The 20,921-nt window shown below is 41.9% G+C and overlaps 1 protein-coding gene and 2 long non-coding RNA genes across 4 annotated transcripts in view, besides 1 other annotated feature; 2 read left to right on the top strand and 1 right to left on the bottom strand.

Moving 5' to 3' along the window:
• LOC124904210 (uncharacterized) overlaps window positions 1–20,921 on the top strand; it is a 51,701-nt gene that overhangs the window by 22,190 nt on the left and 8,590 nt on the right. The window lies entirely within an intron of this gene.
• LOC105378827 (uncharacterized) lies at window positions 1,077–3,405 on the top strand. Of its 2 annotated transcripts, none has more exons than XR_001738132.2 (2): window positions 1,077–1,205; window positions 2,491–3,405. It is a non-coding gene; the product is annotated as an uncharacterized LOC105378827 (long non-coding RNA). The 2 variants fall into 2 exon arrangements; XR_947557.2 differs by lacking the exon at window positions 1,077–1,205 and adding an exon at window positions 1,554–1,941.
• Window positions 2,874–2,963: an enhancer, noted in NCBI's record as "active region_1277". NCBI's record gives its function as "activates an Ori minimal core promoter by ATAC-STARR-seq in GM12878 lymphoblastoid cells {active_cell/tissue: GM12878}" and the evidence as "EXISTENCE:reporter gene assay evidence [ECO:0000049][PMID:35858748]".
• The window catches only part of CLCA1 (chloride channel accessory 1), a 31,333-nt gene continuing 15,559 nt past the window's right edge, over window positions 5,148–20,921 (bottom strand). The window contains exons 6-14 of the mRNA NM_001285.4: window positions 19,846–20,064; window positions 18,654–18,881; window positions 16,237–16,411; window positions 14,036–14,142; window positions 11,808–12,023; window positions 10,959–11,220; window positions 9,732–9,902; window positions 6,596–6,835; window positions 5,148–5,753 (exon numbers count right to left, since the gene is read on the bottom strand). Of these exons, the coding sequence (NP_001276.3) occupies window positions 5,362–5,753; window positions 6,596–6,835; window positions 9,732–9,902; window positions 10,959–11,220; window positions 11,808–12,023; window positions 14,036–14,142; window positions 16,237–16,411; window positions 18,654–18,881; window positions 19,846–20,064 (2,010 nt within the window). The 3' untranslated portion in view covers window positions 5,148–5,361. The remainder of the gene's footprint in view (window positions 5,754–6,595; window positions 6,836–9,731; window positions 9,903–10,958; window positions 11,221–11,807; window positions 12,024–14,035; window positions 14,143–16,236; window positions 16,412–18,653; window positions 18,882–19,845; window positions 20,065–20,921) is intronic.

Raw genomic sequence — 20,921 nt, 5'->3', positions numbered from 1 at the left:
CTTTCTGACAAGGGACCAGATAGCCCAGAATGAGAGCGAATATGTGTGATGTAAAGAGGGTGATGACTGGCAAGGAGGAGTCTTGCGCTGCAAGAGACAAAGCTAGTAGGGGTTCATTAGTAATGCCCTTCACATGTGCAAGATCTAAATGAGTAATACTATACACCGCATAAGTGGAATCACTAAGTATATTTACGTCTTGGTGAGGAAAATTTGTAAGGCCAATATCAAGGCACCTAACTCTGCCTGTTGTGTAGTTTTTAAAATGCTCCTGGATTCTGTACTGCCAGTTTTGCATGGCATCTTGCCACACTATAGCTGCTTTTCCAGTTTTTCCTGAACCATCTGTAAAGAGAGTGATGGCATGAAGTAAAGGCTCAGAGACAACAATAGATACAAACTTCACAGGCATAGTTTGTAAAAAGTTCAGGAGCTTAGAGGCTGGTAAATTGAAGCTGATATTACGAATAAAGTCAGCCATTGCTACTTGCCAATCAAGATCACGAGCTAAGAGAGTATGAAATTGTTCCTTGCTTAAAGGTAGGAAAGAGTAGCAGGGTCATATCCTGACAGCTGGACGCAACGTTGGCGTCCCTTTATGAGAAGAGAAGCTATTAAATCTGTTGTCTTTTGTGTATGTTTAGAGGGATTATGAGACAGGTACATAACAGATGTAAAATACAGAAATGGCAAAAGATAAAGCCTACCTGTTAAACTAAGGCATGGAAGCGATGGATATTTCAAATGATTATTACTATATTTTGGCCCTTGAAAATCATTAGAATGTGACTGCAAGTCGCCAGGATAATAAACCTGCATTGAGTTAGCTTAAGTATGTAAAAAAAAAAAAAAGAAAAAACCCCAAAAAACTTTTTAAAATGTCCTTTGGTGTTGGCCATTTTCCTGCATCAGCCTTTAGATGGAATGTCTTAGAAGTGAGCTTGGGAAAGTAGGGCTGTGGCCAGTTTCTTTTATTCGGTCTGGGCTCCTTAGGCAGCTTCTGTTTTTAACAGCTTGCCACTTGTTGCTGCCCTTACTCTGAAAGAAAGGAAGGAAGACTACAAGTGGCAGTAAGAGGCCAAAGAATGACCGGGTGGTAACGTGCGTGTGTAAGCGCAGAGGCTGGAGGGAAGAAGGTAACCGGCTGGGAGAAAACCACTCCGCTTATCTTTTAGGCCACCTACGCCTGAAGCCAACCCTGTTAGGTAAGGTACTGAAAATAGACTGCGCTTTTTATTATTTTTACCACCCTCAAGCAGAGAGGCTCAGGGGAGGAGCAGACAGGCAGCGCAGTGTCTGCTTTGAAGTTTCTTAGCCCCAGTGTTTTTAAACATTTTATAAAAAAGCGAAACAAACATTCCTTACTGCTGCGTCTTATCTTCTGACGATGACAGCAGCTGGCAGAGCTCATCCACCTCAGCCTAGTTAGCATTTAGCATATGGCTACTGGAGAGCGTCCCTTATTAGCGGGCTCCTCCCTCAGGGCTCCGTACTCTAGGCTCCTCCGCACTACTTTGCCCACCTTAGGCTAGTAAGGTCGGCGTGCACATGGACTGTTTCTTAGCCCTTTCCCTAGGGGGCCAGGGAAGACAAGGAATTGCTTGTCAACTGAGACATGCGAGGGGTGGCAGGGAAGGGCAGAAGTAGGAAAAGCAGCAGCACAGCAAGCAGCAGGCCACTTCCCGGGCACGGTTACTAAGGCACGTGACCATGGTGAGGAGGATCCTCAGGACCCGGCTGGAGCTGCCTGCAGCCACCCGGGGACTCGGTCTGTGCCTCTTGACCTCCCCTCCATCACCACAAACCCAGAAAGGGGCAACCTGCCCAGACTGCAAGTGACTAAATGGGCACTCCATGGCATCTTAGCAACTCTCCTGCCCCAGGCCTCTGTGGGCAGCAAGAAAGCCAGAGCTATCTAGGATAAAACCCAGGAGGCAGCATGTAAGTTCCCCTTATACTCCAGGGAAACAGAAAACCGACAAGGCCAGAAAGGCTGATGCTGGAAGTAGGAAATGAGAACTTGCGTATTAGGAAGACAATCATACTCAGCCACTTTCCTTCCCTCTTGGAGGCACCCCTCCAGCAGGGAAGTTTGTCAAGGAGAAGCGGACACCCGATCATACAGATGTTCGCTGACCGGGGGTCTTATCTAAGAACCGTCCCTTGGGCAGTTTCCAATCTCCTTAAGGGGGATGGGAGGCGCTGTTGGCTGAACGGGGCCAACAAATGCAGGTCCCTTTAAGGGTGGAAGAAAGGAGGGCAATGGCTTTTCTATAGGGGGAGGAAAAGGCTCTGGTCCGTCCTTATCCTCACTAGAAAAAATATCCTGCTCATGTCCTACGGAAGGGAATGAAGTAGAGAGAGGAGCACCCCCCTGCTGCTCTGGTTCCTGTTTTTCCTCACTGGAAAAAATCTCTTCTTTATTCCCCATAGAAGGGAATGAAGAGGGGAGAGGAATCTCTCCCTTTAAATCTTCTGAATTCCTTTCAGGTGGAGATAATGGGCGGTCTGACTCACCGCAATCTGGCAGATAAAGAGGATACAACGCAGAGCGTACCAGCGCGCCCAGGTGGTCAAAATAGTAACATTTGCTCATATCCTCTTTTCAGGCAGCGACCTACCTGCTCCCATAACTCTAAATCTAAGGTTCCTTGATCAGGAAACCAAGGGCATCCCTGCCGAATTAAAAGCATAAGCTTGTGTAGAGCTCCAGGCTCTACAGTGCACTGGATAGCCTTAAGTAGCTGTTGCACTGTTTTAAAAAATACTTTCTGTTCTTTGGTCATTTCCTGACCCATGATGACCCAACCCCTGGTATTTTACGCGTGGGTCCCGTCCTCCTAATGGCAATCAGGACTGTCCCTTACTGGGATTCCCCAAAAATTAAGGAGTTTTCCTCCTTCACGTGCAACTTCAAGGCGATCACTTCGGGCGCACCACTTGTAGAGTTTATAGCTTGCAGTGAACGCCCAGAATGAGTTCTCAGACAATTCCAGCTGAGCGGAGCGGCGGACCACTCTTCTGAGAGAGTGTCACCCCAGAATCCATCCGCCAAGTATTTATTGAAAGGGCTTGTTAAACTACAAACATCCACTAGATGGCCTCTTGAGGTCGGGTCGTGACACACCTGTGGCCTTCTAAAAGCATTCAAACCACATTCTCAGGAGGCTGTTTTCAGCGTTCCTCATGACACACTCCACTCCTTGTCCTGTTTTCAGGGTCAAGGAGTTACATTTCCATGCACAAATAACATACACACAGTGCCTCCGTCTTTTTCCATGCCCCGACCTCAAATGCTTTGTATACAAGCTTGAATTTGTTGCCATGCACCCCCAACAACCCTCTGCCCATTTGGCTGGCAAAGCAACTGGTTGTGCCCTCAATAAACAGTACTGACTTTGGGAACATCAGGGTCTTCCTAGTCTTGGAACTCTCTACTGTTCAGTTTTTATAACAAATTTATATGTAAGAAATACGGGTCCTAGGAAACAGCCTGAAGGACATGCAATCCATTCACTCCAAATTTTACCTCTGGGGCAAGCTCAAGAGCTAATTGCTAGGCCCGCATTTTTTGGGTCCCTGTATAATTGCCTTTCCTGAACAATGCTGTGGTGTTACTCCTTTGGCTTACAGTGAAGGAAGTAATTAGCCCTATATTAAACTTGTTGTTATGATTACTATACGGTTGCTGCTTTGGCTGCGGCCCTTAACATCACAGTGCCCTAATAAACTGAGGATCCACAGATAAAACTTCTTGTGGGTCTCACGACTAGGAAAAGCCATGCTTCTCCTGAGCTGCTTCTGGCTTGCTTTTCACTATAGACTCTGTTAATCTTGTTACTATATACACTTCATTTGTCCTACCTACTTGTCACAAAGTGAAATATGTGACTTGGCTGTAGCAATTGTACAGAACATTATATTATGCATTTGATGTGGTGGTTTTCCCTCTAGTTTTTTTCCCCCATGTATTCTTTATAGGTTTATACCTGAGCACTTCTTCTAGTTTTTATTATATATTTTATTTCTTTATTTTTATGTTTATTGCATGTATCACTAAGATGGCTCAAATCTGGTTTTGAAATAAGAAAGGTCTACAAATAAAGAAATTTTGGGTCTACGCAGAAATGATATGCTAGATATTTTGTTTTCAATCATAAAGAGAGCCACCCACATCTTGAACTCATTGTACTAATAACTGGGAACTCGAAACAATTTTCACAGGACTATCTACACCTACAGGCACTGGAATCTGTGACTAGTCCTTCACGAGGACTGCCATAGTGCTAGGCCTACACTTCCAACCCTTTTTCCTCTTCTTCTCCTTCCCCTTTCATTTGTTATGCTGCTGGTCTTTCTCACACTTATTAAGGGCTTCGTGCGGTTCTTAAAGACTCCCTTCTCAAGCATATCTCTGAGCATATCTGCCTCCTGATTTCAAAAATAAATCCTCAAATGCTCTTTTTAGTATACAGGAAAAAGGCCAATGCTTACTCATCTTTCTATCCTTAGAACCTAGCATTGGCCTGGAAAATAATAAGCAGCTGGTGAACATTTGTTGAAAGAACTGAATTACATTAAATAAACTAATGCACATAAGGCATTAGTTGGGCCCTTGGACAAAGTACACAATAAATGTTTATTTCTCAATCACTTTCCCTTCACACCTGGCCTGAAGCTACCTTTCCCACCTTATCCCCACTGCCATGGCTTAAAGCATCACTAACTCTTGTAATTTCATGCACATAACGTTCATTTCTGTGCCTAGGGAATTTTCATTGTGCTGTTCTTTCTTTCTTCAATGCCATCTCTTCCTTAAATGCACCATCATTGCTCAAATTTAGAGAAAATAAGACATATTCCTAGTGATGCTGGTCCAAAACTCCTATAAAACAAGTCATGTCTTTTATATTTAAATAATTTAGATTGGCTTTTCTTCACCAAAAGAAATCAAACAACTTTTAGCAACTCTGTTAGATTTCTGCAATTGCATGTTGTTTTTAACTGGCAAAGCTCCTTAAAACAAATAAAAACATACTTCCATTTATTGATGCAAGCCCTGTTTCTTTCTAGTATTCAAATTCATTAATAAAAGACTCAATGATTATTAAATTTTTGGGTTTGAATGGATAGTTTTTATGCATGTATACCCAGTTGTTTAGCATTTTATTTTATCGCCCCCTACAGGAAGTCTAAAATACATTTAGTATATCGCCCCCTACAGGAATACATTTAGTATAAATGTACTATATACATTTAGTATATCGCCCCCTACAGGAAGTCTAAAATACATTTTAGAAAATTTTATAATCAAAAAAAAGGATGAATGATTTATTTTATTTATCTGACAAAAATTCAGCCCTAGGCTATTGACAGCTGCAGTTCTCCTATCCACTTCCACATAATTTTTAAAATGTGAATGCCAGGAATGGTGCTGTTGATATGAATATTAGGACAAGGAGCAGACGTTTCATCAGGACTAGGTGTCTCTGGCGGAGTCTGTGGAGGAATAAACAAAGATACTCGTGCAATGTTGGATATTTCTGATTTCAGATCGACCTTATCAACAGCCTGAATAGCAATGAAAAGATCTGTGCCATTTTCAAAAGTAATGTTTTCTGGTTTAAACAAAAAGACTTCCTCAGAGTTGGCTTCCTTTGGGATGAGAGCAGTAGTATTCACTTGAAGAGATTCATTGAACTTGTCTCTGAGATCAAGAATACTTGTACTTATTCGAATGATATACTTGTGAGCTAAAAAGAAAAAAGAAGAATGTGACTTTAATTCTGAAATATTAAAGAAACTTCTTAAGCAGTAGAGCTTTAAAAAATATTTAAAAAGCTTTAAAAGTCTATGAGAAATTATATCATCACCCCATAAGGTTCCCAAATAAATGAACTGATGGTCCTGTTTACAAGGATTACTATCTCTTTTACATTCTTGTTTGTATATAATGACACAGTGATAAGCGTAAAACTGGATTGGGCATGACGTAAAGCCTTGGTCAGCATTTCTAGCCATAGTGCCCGGCAGAAAGAAGAGACTGTTTAACAACTGTTTATTGTTTTATTATTTATAGAGGCAGTTTGCACCAATGCTTCTCAAACTGTAATGTGTGTACAAATCACCCAGGGATCTGAAAATGCAGATCTGAAAACACTTTCTAACAAGTGTTCATGGTATCTACATGCTGCAGTCCACAGACCACACTTTGAGAGAGAAAGTCTGGTAGGACCTGAGGTTCCTTCCAAAAGAGCTCTGCTCTGCAGACATCTATGCTCCATTTCCAGTTCTTCCCCAGGAGTCACTGCTACCCAGAAAATGGAGTTTGTCAAAGGACAGTTTGGTAAGATTTCAGAAACAAAGTGAGGTTTACCCTTCCTGGCTGAAGCCTCTTACTCCCAAAGTTTACCAGTTTTTCAGGTTTTAAATCTCTCTTCTTTAAATACATTTATCCCTCATTTCAAAGGACCGGCAAGATCCCTCCTGCCTTCTGCCCCCTAAGTATCAGAACACGGCTGCCTGCCTCACCCGCTTCTGCTCTTCTACTTGGCTGGTAAACTCTTTTACAGGGTCCACACCAGGTTCAGCTTACCTGTTCCATGGTCATAATCATCCCCAGGAGCTGTCCAAGTCAGATTAATGAGACTGCCCCCGTGAATTTCCGCCTTCAGGTCGGTGATTTGGCCAGGTGGGAAGAGATCAGGTATGGGAGCATTTGGGACATCAGAAGCCACAAATGAGCCTCCCGAGGATGTTCTGCTGAAACACACTTGCTTGTGTTGAACATCATCCTTATTAATTTCAGGTCTTGGTGGATTCCATTGTATTTCATCTGCATTAAAAAAATACTCAAAATATGGTAAGCAACATCACTAAATGGTGACACCTCCGTCTGTTTTCTTATCAGATCACCCTCTTCCTGTTCCCCACTTCTGCTTCTTTCCTTCCACACACAGAATTAATTTTAAATATTTGGAGACAAGACCACAAATACGGTTTCATCAGAGGGAAAAGAGAAAACAGAGAATCACAGTTTCTTTTTTTTATCTCTTAGATATTTCCTGGATATTTAGTGGAATAACCTTTTGGAATTTATTTTCATGACATTTGTCCTAAAATTGCTTATTTTCCCATCTTTTTGCCCATCCTGATCTTGTCTTTCCACAAGGTCAGTTTAAATACTACATCTGTTTTTTCCTTCCTTCCTTCCTTCCATCCTTCCTTCCTTCCTTCCTTCCTTCCTTCCTTTCTTTGTTTTTGTTTTTGAGATGGAGTTTCGCTCTTGTCATCCAGGCTGGTGTGGCGCAATCTTGGCTCACTACAACCTCTGCCTCCTGGGTTCAGGTGATTCTCCTGCCTCAGCCTCCTGAGTAGCTGGGATTACAGGCATGTGCCACCACACCGAGCTAATTTTTGTATTTTTAGTAGACATGGGGTTTCACCATGTTGGCCAGCCTGGTCTCGAACTCCTAACCTCAGGTGATCCACCTGCCTCAGCCTCCCAAAGTGCTGGGATTACAGGAGTGAGCCACTGTGCCGGGCCTAAAGACTAAGTGTTTTAAACCTCAGACTGCCTCAAGAAATGTATTCCTCCTAAATAATAGTGTGAGTTTCATTATCTTTCCTATTTATTTGGCAACTAATCAACTGGACCTTCAAGAATGCCTTGATTGTTTATGCATATTTCTTTCACTTTCTCGATGTTTGTATTTCATTTTTCTTATTAAATTTCAGTTTTTAATAAAATGTTTTATGTTAGGGTTCCAAAATTTTGTGCTTTTGAAAGACTTCTCATTTTCTCAGTGAATGCATGGGAATCTAGTTCTTGTAGTGATCCCAATTTCATTCACATTCTTGTTGAAGACATGTATAAAAGTAATCCTGGAATTTAAAAAATACCCTGGTCTGTTCAATCTGTAGAGTTCTCAGGTTCTCTTTTCTTTTCAATAAAAATATCTCATAAGATCCTAACATGGCATTACTTAGAATTTGTTTTCTCATAAACTCTACCTCTTTATAGAATTTTTATCTGTTAAAGACCGTTTAATCTTCATACCCATTAATCTGGTCTTGGCAAAGATGAAGTGAATGCTCTAGCAGGTTCAGGGTTCATGTTGAAAGCACCAGTAGAGACTGCCATTAAGGCTTATCGAGGGATAGAGGGAAGAACATGGCCTTCTACTGTTATGCCAGGCACTAACACTATTAGTTATATGAACCCATAAGCTCTCTAGCTTCTGTTTCCCCATCTTTAAAAAGGGATACTTACAAGAATGAAATATATTACTGTAAGTAAAATGCTGCCATAAGGCTAGACCTAGCCACTAAACCAGTCCCCTTCTGCCTCCTTCCCCTAACTCAAAAAGCAGTGGCATGGGCTGGGCACGGTGGCTTACGCCTGTAATCCCAGCACTTTGGGAGGCCGAGGCGGGCAGATCACAAGGTCAAGAGATCGAGACCATCCTGGCCAACATGGTGAAACCCTGTCTCTACTAAAAATACAAAACTTAGCTGGGCATGGTGGCACGTGCCTGTAGTCCCAGCTACTCGGGAGGCTGAGGCAGGGGAATCACTTGGACCCGGGAGGTGGAGGTTGCAGTGAGCTGAGATTGTGCCACTGCACTCCAGACTGGTGACAGAGCAAGACTGTCTAAAAAAAAAATGCAGTGGTATCTTTTAAAACATTTCCCTCTATTATCACCTTTGCATGAGTGACACCATGTGTCTCTGAATCCTCTCTTCACTAAGCACACACCCAAGTAAAGATGACAGTGGGAAGGTTCTCAAAGGAGCTCTTCTCCTTCCCGCACACCAACCTCAGGAGAAAGCCTGCCCAGGACAGGGTGGAGATTGATGGAAAACTAGTCCTGGAACCCATTGGGACACAAACTTGGTCTCAATTCCTTCTCTAGTCCAGGGCAAGTGTTTGTAACCAAAAGTGGTATGGGACTGTCTGTTTCATGGACATAATTTTCCCACCTGCTTACACGTGGGCTCAGTGTGCTGGCCCACATGAAATTCATCTACTATGCTCCCTGGCCTGAGCAGGAGGAGAAAAGAGGAAAGACAGACAGTGGACTTGGATAATGATATTGATGTAGATAACAAACCCTAAATTATTACTTTTTTATTCTGTGGAACAGATTCATTAGGATAAATTAGAAATGCTTCAATGGAAAGAACTTCATTAGAAGTGTTTTTAAAATAATGATAAAACCTTTATTAAACACTATTTACCAGTAACAGTTTGTTAGATGTGTTTAGTTATTTATTCTGTGTGACCATCCTATGAGGTAGCTGCCATTATTATCCTTATTTTACAACAGAGGAGAGTGAAGTACAAAAAGATTACACAAAATACTGTATTTGATAGAGGGCTGGGCTTTGAAGTAAGGCAGTCAAAAGCTATGTTCTATCCAGTGATTTTCAGCTGGAGGCTAGTTTGCCCCCCTAAGGGTTAGTGGACCACATATGGAGACATTTTTGATTGTCATGACTAGGGAATTGCTATTGACAAATAATGGATAGAGGTTAAGGATGCTGCTAAACATGCCACAATGTGCAGGATAGCCCTCCACAACAAAGGATTGTCTGGCTCAAAATCTTAATAATGCCAAGGTTGAGAAACCCTGATTTAATCATGCACCATTCTGCCCCACAGGCTTAATAGTTTCCTCTTGAAACCAATGCTTTTGCACAAGCCAGGTATGTTATTACAAATTACTTACCATTCTCAATCCAGCCAGGTATGTACAGTGCTCCACTCTGCTGGGGTATCACTCTCCGTCTGGCTGCGTTAACTCCTCCCAGAGCCCGCACTTTTACACTGTATCTACCATTCGTGTCATAAGTTGTGAAATACCTTGAGTAGACACCGTCATCCTTAGTAGCATCAGCACCTTGATAAAGAATGAAGGAATTAATAAATAGGTAACGGGGAGGGTATTTGTATATTTCCAACTCATATGTAGGCTATGAATTTTCAAAGCAACAAGAAATTCAGCATTAGCTCCAAGAGACCTTAAGATTTTGGTGTGTTGAGGGTAAGGCTTACTTCTTTTATCACTGTGTGTGGTTTTATGTATACATTCTGTCTTCTTGAATTGTTGACTTTCTTTTTGAAATCTAAGATGGTATCGTTTCTGTGTTACACCCAATGTAGCACAAGGTAACTACTCAATAAGTATCTGTTGAACTAAATTAAACTGCTATATGCAAATGTGGAAGAAAAAAATGTTGTATGATTATTTAATAAAATTCATCACTTCTCCCCAGGGTAGATTTAGGTGGGAAATTCATTCACAGGATTCATTCTATTAAGGTTACTTGCTTCACAGTAAGCAGACATGTTTTTTTTTTTTTTTTAAACTGTAGAATTCTCTTTCTCTCTCTCCCTGATAGACTTCTTAAAGACAAGAATAATGGGCAGAATTTTCACTTTTGGGGCAAGCTAATATAGAGTCTGCATAGATACAGGAATCATATAGGACTGTGCTTGAATCTATCTCTGCTGCTTTCTAAATGTGAAAGCCTCAGTGAAGATATTATAAAAACAAAGGTTATATACATCTTTGTATATATGTATTTGTGTATACACACACACACTCATATGTGTGTATGTATGTATGTGTATATACAAAGCACCTAACACAATATGGTTATTAATTTTCCTCTTTTCCTTTTTTGGGGGTTGTGGAATACCCTATGGCAACTCCCCAGAGACTGAATCTATTGAGCTTGAGCTGTTAATGTGTTTTGGGCCTTGCAGAAGCCCTCATGTTTTCCAGCATTTTGAAATGTAGGAATTGTGGGGAAATGGAGAACTCTCCCAACCAGACCTCAGTGCTGTGCTGCCTTGCCTGTCTAACTGCCCTCACCAGACCATGCCCTCTTGGCATTCCCTGGTTGCTTCTTGGAAAAAGAAATAAATATCTTCCAATTTCTTGGGTGATTACCTGCTCCATTATCCAGTAGTTCCAAGGTAACTGTTTTTCCATTCACTGATTCAATCAGGGCTGTGACACTGGCCCTGAGAATTGGGGAGGCTCCTTGGCGAATATTTGCATAAACTACCAGAGGGCTGGGGAATTTGCTGGTGTCCTTGTTCGTTTTGGAAGTCACTGTAATTGGAGGCAGGGTAGCATTGGACGCACGGGACGTGACAGTCAGGGTCAAGGTTTGTGAGCTTGCTTGCAGACTGTATTTCCAAGTGCCAACCTGACCAAAACACATGTAAACATTTCCAATGAATAACTTCAGGTGACACAGACCTGACTTCAATGTCACGTACGGGAAAACCCTCTGATATAAGCATGTTGGAAGCATATCTAAGAAGAGGTGTGCATGTTTGATACTCTGTCAGCCACGGGGAGCTTCAGTGTGTTTGAACTAACTATATCATTCCCATTGTCAAGAAAATTCCACGGCGGGTGGGAGGGGGATGGTGAGGTCTGAAAGCTATATGCTTATTGTTGCCTTGGTTTTATAAGAGATGAGTCTCTGAGATAAAGGAAATAACTTTTATGATCCCAAAATGTCGAGGATCATTTTGCATCTTGATTACTATGTAATTTAAAGGTTCTCCATTTAGTACCTGGACAAAATATCACCTATTTCCTTTGTCTTTACTTGCTGACATACTGAGTGATTTTCATTGGATGGAGATTTTTTTTCCTCGTTCTCTCTTTGATTCAATACTGACTCTCCTTTTAGCAACCACCAACATTTAAAATGCTACAATTATTCTGTAAAAACTTTATTTTATCTTGTTGAATTATGAGAAAGAAAAAAAGCTGACTCCATACCTTAGCAATGCCTGGGATTTGGAGGTAGGCCATTTTGGTGTTTTTGTCCACTACAAAGCCACCTTGCTTCTGTCCACTGGGATCCCAGAGAAGGATTTGGGGAGGCTGCATTGTCCAGGTGATAAGAAACAAAGTGTCCTTTCCCACGGTGCTGTCCACGATCACTGTGCCATTCATCCACTGGCTGTTCTGGAGGGTTAATCCCTTACTCTCAAGCTGTTAAGAAAAACAGCTCTTACTTTCTGGAGAATACAGCTCCCATCACATGATCTTTTCCCTTCTGCCCCTGTCTCCCCAGTGCGCCATTAAAAAGACTTCAGTGATGCCTGAATCCTTGATTTGGTGTTAGGAGCAATTATGATGCAGTTCTAAGTTACCTTTCTAGCCTTAGCTTCCACAATTTTCCATCCTCCACCCAAACAAGACCACTCCCCAAAGGTCCTTGTGAATCCCTGACTCTTTGACTTTATTATCGTACTCTTTAGTTTTCCTAGAAGGCTTTACATTTGTCTTCTCCATTTATCTAAGCCTTCTTAGTCTTCTCTGTTTGTCTAAGCCTTACCCATCCTTCAAAATTCAAATATTACTTTCTCCATGAAGGTTTCTCTGCTGTCCATCTCATTTACCAGTTGTAAAAAATCTCCCCTTCCTCTGATCTCCTATAGGATTTTATTTCTATCAATCCTTCGACATTCATCATATTGTGCTTCGCCCTATATTTATTGGTATATGAAGCTCATCTTATTTATTAGACTATGAACCCTTAAGGGGACTCACTGTGACTTATTTTTTACCCACGCATGGATTGTCTGAATTACCTAATTGCTAAGTCAGGTAGTATTGCAGGCCCTGTGGAGATAAATGACATAAGCCAAGGCCAGCTTGTTTGGAATAGAATGAGGGAGCTGCAGAGTGGGAGTGAGGTAAGGAAGGATTAACAAGGCTTTTTTAGAAAATGTGATTTTGAGGATTATCTCCTAGGTAGTTATTGTCTCAGAGTTAGCACCTATTAGAAGACAGAGTGGGCTGGTCATAGAGCCAGATTTCCTAGTTTCACAGGTAGATCACAAGCTGGCAAGTGGAGAAAGCGAAGGGCTATTAGATCTGGTTCTTGTGGCACACTGGTGAATGAGTCTTGCTCATTTCTCCATCTCTCTCTCTCTCTCTGTTAGGTTTCTTAAATACAAAAATCATAGGCAGAAATTTCCTAAATGTGAACTTGTCCTTTTATCACTTTAATTACTTTTCTAGGAGACATTCCTCCCTTTTCCAAAGCAGGCCCTTGCATTTAATTTTCTAAATCTGAACCAGAATAACCCAGATGGGTATAATTGCTGTCTTCCTAGATTGAATAAATGCTCCATTGGTAAGCCAGAAAGCCTATGGTTTCAAAATCTCTCATTATTAGGCTTTGACATTACAGTTTTCCTTTATCTTTATCTGAACTTTCATCATAAAAATTATAATTCACACCAGTGTGAATGCTGATTGTTCACTCTCTCTAGTTTAAAAATTAATGTGAATAATTTCTGCAATTACTAAAAAAGAGCATTGAAAAAATACATTTTTCTTTTTTCTTAATAGTTTCAAGACTTTTAAAAGGCAATTTGGTTTTCTTGAAATTTTAGACCAGATGGGCCATTGGAAGTTTTCTGTCTCTACCTGGTGGAGAAATGAAGGTCCACAGAGGTGAAGTTCTTTGCCTAGGTCACATAGTTAATGGCAGACCGAGGACCAAGATCCAGGGGTCTGGACTCACACCACTGGCTTTTTACAGTACAAAGCACTTTCTGTCCATTATATGTAAATCTTGGCAAACAACAGAAATTTGATGTAATGGAAAAATAAAGCAAGTAATCCCTGGACACTTGTCCCAGAAAATTTGTAATTGAGATGATCTACTCTGAAGAAAATTCTGAGCCAATTATATTGCTCTAGTTGCTTGTTCAGAGATGTTAAAAAAGAATTCTTGGACATATGACATTTTATCTGCTGACTTCTGTGAGGAATTCACTTGGTATTGCTTCCAAACAAGTAGACACTAATTGCCTTGTTTAAATGAGTAGTGTTGCATTTTAGGAATAATGTTTAATATCAAGCTGGACCTTCTATTTTCATTTTAATTCAGTACCAGAAGAGTGGAAAACTTAAAACTTTTAGCCATTAAATTCTCCATCTTGGCTATGATTATGTGTAAATATGAAAAACCAAAGATTAAGAACTCCAACCTGGATGGAGCGCTGAGAGACAGCTCCATTTCCTGATGAAAGGGCCCCAAAAGCATCAATGAGGCCATTGTTCTGAACTTGATCTGAAGCATATGTCTGTAAACCTCCTAAAATGCAATTACATTTTCAGAAATTATTTTCCAGAAAGCAACTATTTGCAACATTTTAGCTGTTGTTTAGAGAGCATACAATATAAATATCCCTTTGTGTTATTAAAGTATAAATAGATCAACATCAAATAGGTGCCTACATTAACTCAGAATTTGATAGTATTTTTTTAACCTATTTATTTTTTCTAAGACAGGCTCTCACTCTGTTGCCCAGGGTGGAGTACAGTGGCATGATCCTGGCTCACTGCAACCTCCACCTTCCAGGCTCAAGCGATCTTCCTACCTCAGCTCCCAAGTAGCTGGGATTACAAGCATATGCCAACATGTCTAATTTTTGTATTTTTTTTTTTTTTTTTTTTTTTAGAGATGGGTTTTGCCATGTTACTCAGGCTGGTCTTGAACTCCTGGGCTCAATCAATCCACCTGCCTTGGCCTCCTAAAATTCTGGGATTACAGGAGTGAGCCACCACACCCAGCCACTAATTTTTAAATCTTAGTAAATAATAGCTTCAGCAACATCTCAGTCACCTGGCTACTTCAACTATCTGCAAAGCAGCCATGAATCTCTGATATGATTTGATATTAATTTATGATATAAATTGATGTCATAAAATCTACATATTAAAGGTCCTGCACTTTTACATGAGAGAAGTCATTAAGCCGTACTCCAGGACTATCGATTTACTCTTATTTGAAACATAATTCCAACAAACGTGGCTTTAGAGTTTTCTTCTAAATGAGGAAAGGCACATATGTGACAGCAGCAAGAAAAAACAGTGGACAAAGGGACACTTACAGAATAGTATATTATAAAAACAGGATTTTACACCAGGCCAGGCAGTCCTGGGCTATTTAGAATAGGTGTCACTAAGTTAGTTGATGTGAAAGCACTTTTTAACTATTATAATTCCATCTGAACTTAAGGAAATAATTTCAGTAAGGCTGTTGATGCCCCACGCACATCCCCTTACCCAGCCAAGTGCATCTCTTCCCAGCTGCTCTAGGCATTGGCTTATAGCTGCCTCCTCTTCCAGGGAATTATCTTACCAAAAGGGGCCACCCTACCTAGAGAAATAACATGCCCCTCTCCTCTGCCCTGTTCTGACAGTCCACAGCCAAAGACTGATAGACACAATGGTGCAAAAGGCCACCCTCCTGTCTCAAGGTGAGACAAGTCTGTGATGTACTTTCCATTCCAGAGTCCCCTGTGGGCACAGCTAGACTCCGACTAGGTCTGCATCAGTGCTTAGCTCCTTCCCTGGCCCTATCCTTTCCTCCTTCCTTTTCTCCTAAGAGCTCTCTCTCCTATAAATTGCATGGACCCAAATCCCTGTCTCAGGCTCTGCTTCTAAGAAACCCAGCCTAGGACAGGTAGTATTAGGAATAAACAGCTCTGGCATTTTAGTGGCCTCAGAAGGCAACTCAGTATAATAATTGAGATCCACAATATTATCCCTAAGTTAAAAAAGAAAAATATGTGTTCACCTACTCTGCTAAAGAAGCTGGTGACACATGGAATCTATTTTAACCATCTGTCTGTGTATGGGAGTTAGACACACAATACGTGAAGGTTTTATGGAGGAACTGCATTGTATTCCATTTTGGGAGTGATCTTTTGCCTTGTTTAACATGCCCTTTGCTCTTCCCTGCTACTTCTCCTGTTTCTTGAATGCTTTTTCTCCAGGTAAAGTTAAAGCCTCCCTTATTTGTGCTTTATTGTACTTTCTGTTGCTAATATAGCACTTATGCCATGGTGTTATGTAGTTAGTGGCTTGTCATCTGTCTCCCCTAGGTCTCTTGGCCAGCTGCCACTGGAAAGGAGTGGTTCCTGGCCCGGGAAGAAGGTCCTGAGTCCTCACTAGAGTGCTGTGCTAGTTCCATCTTCTCCAGGCTGCCTTAGTCCTAGACACAAAGCTTTAAAATAAATGGGCAGAGTCCACTTAAACAGTCATTCAGGGGTAAGGGTGGCTAGTTAGCCAATTAGGTTATCCTATCTCTCTCCATCCCATCTTTCCCCCACTCCCCAGTTCACTGGAGCTCACAGTCCAGTAGGAGAGACAATACCGGGGGTCTCAGCAAATCATCCCTCACCTGTCATTTTGGACAGCTCCTCTAGTTCTTGAGCTGCAGAGGGCCCCAAAGCGACTGTGTGGATGATGGCACCACTTTGTTTGACCTCGTTAAAGCACCCACTTATAGTGTTGTCTTCCCCATCCGTCAGCAGCACAATTTCAGATCCATCAGTTGGATATTTCTTCCTAATCACCTAAGGACAGAATTTAGGGCACGAGTTATCAGACTTAGGGTGGCCAAAGTGTTTATGAAAATTCTGCTTACAGGAAAGGAGAAAAGAAATTCTAGAGGGAATAACCAAAATTGTCTGGGAATGACCAAATATCTGTCTGTCTTGAAATGATACAATCTTAACCCAGCAGCATTCATGGAACTTGACCGCTGTCTTTCCCCTTGGCTGGTCTGCTGCAGAGAGGGACGGTGTGGGATGCAGGGCAACTCTAGGGGTGGACAGCACTGGGGAAACAGCAAAGAAGGTGTTCCTAGTTTCCTTCACTTGGTCTCTCCTTGATAGGCTTTCAGAGCTTCCAAGATGCCTTCAGAAACCATCTCATTTAATGGGGATTATATTGGGGGGATATTAGACCCAGGGCAGACTTTAACTTATATGATATTCACCAGTCTGACAATACCAGCTATTTCTGGCTGGCATTGGTTCTGATTGGTCATTACCTAGGTCACATGAGTTGTCAATATTTTTAACAGCCTTTCTGATTAAAGCAAAACATTTCATTTCCATTAATTCTCAGTTCCTAGTTGTTCTGTGACACCTATGTCTCAACTACTCCTGGTATATTTGGATTATTTATTTATTTTTTTATATGGTATAGACAGGATACTCCTTCTGCCAATGTTGAATAAGATTAGGACGGGAGGAAAATTAGATAAAAGAATAATGCTATCTATTTAAGAAGAGAAAGCAAGAGTCCACTCTTCCCCTAAACGGAGTGGAAGGAGAGACCCAGAATTAGGGGAAACAAGAAATCAAGCCTAAGCATCTGTGGCCTAGAATCTCAGATAAGAAGGCATCTTCCAAAGGCCTAGAATCTCAGAAAAGAAGGCGTCCTCTGAAGGTGGAAGGGAAAGCTGAGGGCAGAGGAGGTTTCCGCCTCACTCACTGTTTCAGCTATTAGAGGAGGCTACCTTGACTCCCTAGAAGAGAACAGAACAGTGACTGTTGCTGTTGCTGTGTCAAAGAGCCCAGAGCCCAGAAGCCTGTCAGCTGTGATCACGGCTTTGGCCTTACTAAGCTGCAGGCCAGAGAGGCCCAATTTGGATTTTCTTGTCGCACTCCCCATAACTGCTGTGTGTCATGGAAAACAGGCAAATGTTGCCACATATCCTAAAGAGGAGACAGAAGACAGCTGAGTTGGGTGTTGGCAGGTGAGAGAAGGATAATCCTGCCACAGAGGCTGAGGAGTATACAGTATGGCTAGAGGCTGGATGGAGGATAGGGTGGTGCTCAGGGCTCTGCTCCAACGGGGAGAGCCAGGGTGGGGCTGAGTCAGTGGAGGAGGACTACTGGGCCCTGAGCAAGCCAAGAGAACAAGCCAAACTAATATGGCCACAGCAGACACCACTGCAAGGAGCACAGGGCAGACCTGACCAGGGCCTGCAGCAGGGACTAGCAGGGATCTTGAACACAGTATAAGATCCAAGGTCCTTTGCCTCATCACCCTGAAGCCACATGAGCTTCTCCCACCCCACACCCAGACTCCACCCCAGGGGGCATCCTAAATTCCACTGGTGTACTGCACACTCTCTCTCTCTCGCTCATCTGAATGGAAGATGCAGAATCAGAGGTTCTCTCTTCACCACCACGCCATCTGGCATTAGTCATCTCCCCTAGGGTCTTGCACAGCAAGGGTTTGGTACAGCACATCAGTGATTTCATTGTCTGTTTTCCTCCCTTATTTGCTCCCTTAGTCAAAGCTTGGGTGGGTGACAGGGGTAATAAAACACAGATGCACGCAGGCATCTGGAGAAGTGTTTCATAGCTGACTGTGTATGCAATAGAAACCACTTTCAGGGAACTGATATTCAAAGTGGACCAAAATGGTCAGAGAGACAGAAAGCACTTGAGGAAATGGTCAAGCCCATTGTCCACATCAGGCCATGTGAGCTGGAAACTACATATTCCTGCTGCCACATGGGAAACTGGAACAGCACTATTGAGTGTGATGTGCCCAAATAGCAGGCTTAGGGCAAACCTGCCTAAGACACTGCAAGGTTCTGAGACCTTATGCCTGCCAGCCCCTTTCAACCTCCTATTCTGTTTCATGTGGCTAAACAGTCTCCAAGTAAATATGGAATATTGCTCCTTGGTTATCTCATCCAGTTGGACCCTAGGCATGTATGGAAACACTGGAAATGGAAGTTTGTTAAGCAACATAAATTGCAAACATTCCAAACTACAATAGAAAAACACATCTCACAGTAAATGCCGATCGAAGCCCGCTGCAGATGGACGTCCCTCCTGAAGCTGCTGCAGGTAATCTTTTGGCGAGTGTGTCCCTGTCACTGCCACTGTTTATCTGTATGAGTTCATTTTGTACATGGGCAGCACTGTCAAATGTCACCATCCCAACCCAGGACCCCAGCTCAACTGTCTGCAGCAGGAAAAGCTGGCCTGCTTGATTCAGTCGATTGAGGCGGTTACCAGTCTAAATGGAGAAGCAAAAGAAAAACAGGTTACGTTTAGATGGAAAGACTAATAACAGAAAAGGCCATAGGGAATTTGGAAGTGGCTGCCTTAATGTAGAGCAAATGACCATAAGCTTACTTGAGGCATATCCTATGGGGAAAAATTTCTTATTTATATTTAGCAGCACCTTTGGGTAGAATTTTAGGGCCAGAGTATAAATAGTAAAAGATAAAAACAGATTACATAATCATTAAAGTTCAATGCATTAGTAATAATTCTAGGTAAGTTCTGTATCAGGTGATACGGTTTGGCTCTGTGTCCTCAACCAAATCTCATCTCAAATTGTAATCCCCATAATCCCCACATGTCGAGGGAGGGACCTGGTGGGAGGTGGGAGGAACATGGAGGTGGTTTCTTCCAGGATGTTCTCGTTACAGTGAGTGAGTTCTGACGAGATCTGATGGTTTTATAAGGGGCTAAGGGGCTCTTCCCACATTGCGCACTCTCTCTCTCTCTCTCTCTCTCTCCTGCTGCCATGTAAGACATGCCTGCCTCCCCTTCCACCATGATTGTAAATTTCCTGAGGCCTCCCCAGCCGTGTGGAACTGTGAGTTGATTAAACCTCTTTCCTTTATAAATTACTCAGTCTTGGGTATTTCTTTATAGCAGTATGAGAACAGACTAATATATAAGACTATGGACCTATAGACTTATATATTGTCAGTGAAACATTAAAAATGTTAAGCTCATATAATTCATCAGATCTTGGTTCATAAATTGAAAATTAATTCAATTTGGCAAATGAGATAGTTGATGCTGAACCTTTGTTGAACAAAGTTGAAGTGGGCATTTCTGAAGACAATGTTACAGTTATAACTATTCTGGCCCTCGGGTTATGTTTATTCGCAACTAGTTCCGAGTCAGGGTCCAGAACATGCATATCTGTGACCAGCATCCAGAAGACCAAGACTCATTGAACATACCGCCATGCTTCCAGATTTGTCAAGGACTAAACACACAATTCTTTGTCCAATCTGCAGCAATGAGAAGGTGGGATTTGGTGGCTGTGTTGTCATAGGAGTGGTTTTCTTAAAGTCCTCAGAATCACGGATCACTTCCCATGTGCTTCGGAGATTGCATTTTTGATTTTGCTTGTTTGGAGCTTCTTTGTTGTGGTTTTGTTCTGTACAGAATTCAACTATCTGAAATTGTCAATGAAATTATATAGATAATGGTAAACTATGTGGTAGAATATTTAATAATTTGTTAGACCTGTCTGCTCTGCTAATGCATAACCTTGGCTCAATTGCACAATCACTGTGGAACAGTGCTGGGGAAAATCACAGTAATAATGCAGATTTCCTACCTTAAACCAGGCCTTCAATCTCATTGGACCCTTAGTGCTCCTCAGCAATCCATTTACCTCCTCTTTTTGGTTTCCTTCCTACTCCTCAAATTTACCATTTCAAGCCATCACTGCTCTCTCCATAGCACCCTCTCCAGCATTCCTCTCTTGGAACCATCTTATCTCTCCACCCTTATACCACCAAACTCCACTTCCTTACTTCTCACTCATTTACCAACACACTATATTCTAACCTTCAACTCCCAATGTTCCAGCTCTCTCCAAAATCCACTTGGATGTCTCACATGCGCCTCAAACTCCACATGTTCATTATTGACCTTATCACTTTTCTCCCATCTGCTCCTCCTCCTCAGGTATTTCCTAACTTGATGTCACCACTATGCACCCCATCACCAAAATTAGGAAACTGGAAGTTTTCCTACCTTTTCCCTCCTAAAAAGTACCCAAGACCAGTGCACTTCACTATATCTCAATTTCTTCATCTTTTCTCCATCTCCAATGAAATATCCATCACCCAAGCCATCACAGTCCCTCCCTCAGACGATTGCAGTTTACTTTGTGACTTTTCCATCTTGTTTCCTCTCTGTTTGTTCCACCTCACAGCTGCCTGAGAGTCTTTCCTCTTACTCCTCTGCTTTAATTGTTCATACATTACAATCCACTCTTCATATACCAATGGCAAACTCTATGACT

This window comes from Homo sapiens, chromosome 1 (assembly GCF_000001405.40).
Source record: "Homo sapiens chromosome 1, GRCh38.p14 Primary Assembly".
Classification (NCBI taxonomy): domain Eukaryota; kingdom Metazoa; phylum Chordata; class Mammalia; order Primates; family Hominidae; genus Homo; species Homo sapiens.
This window is presented reverse-complemented; position numbering and strand designations above follow the sequence as displayed.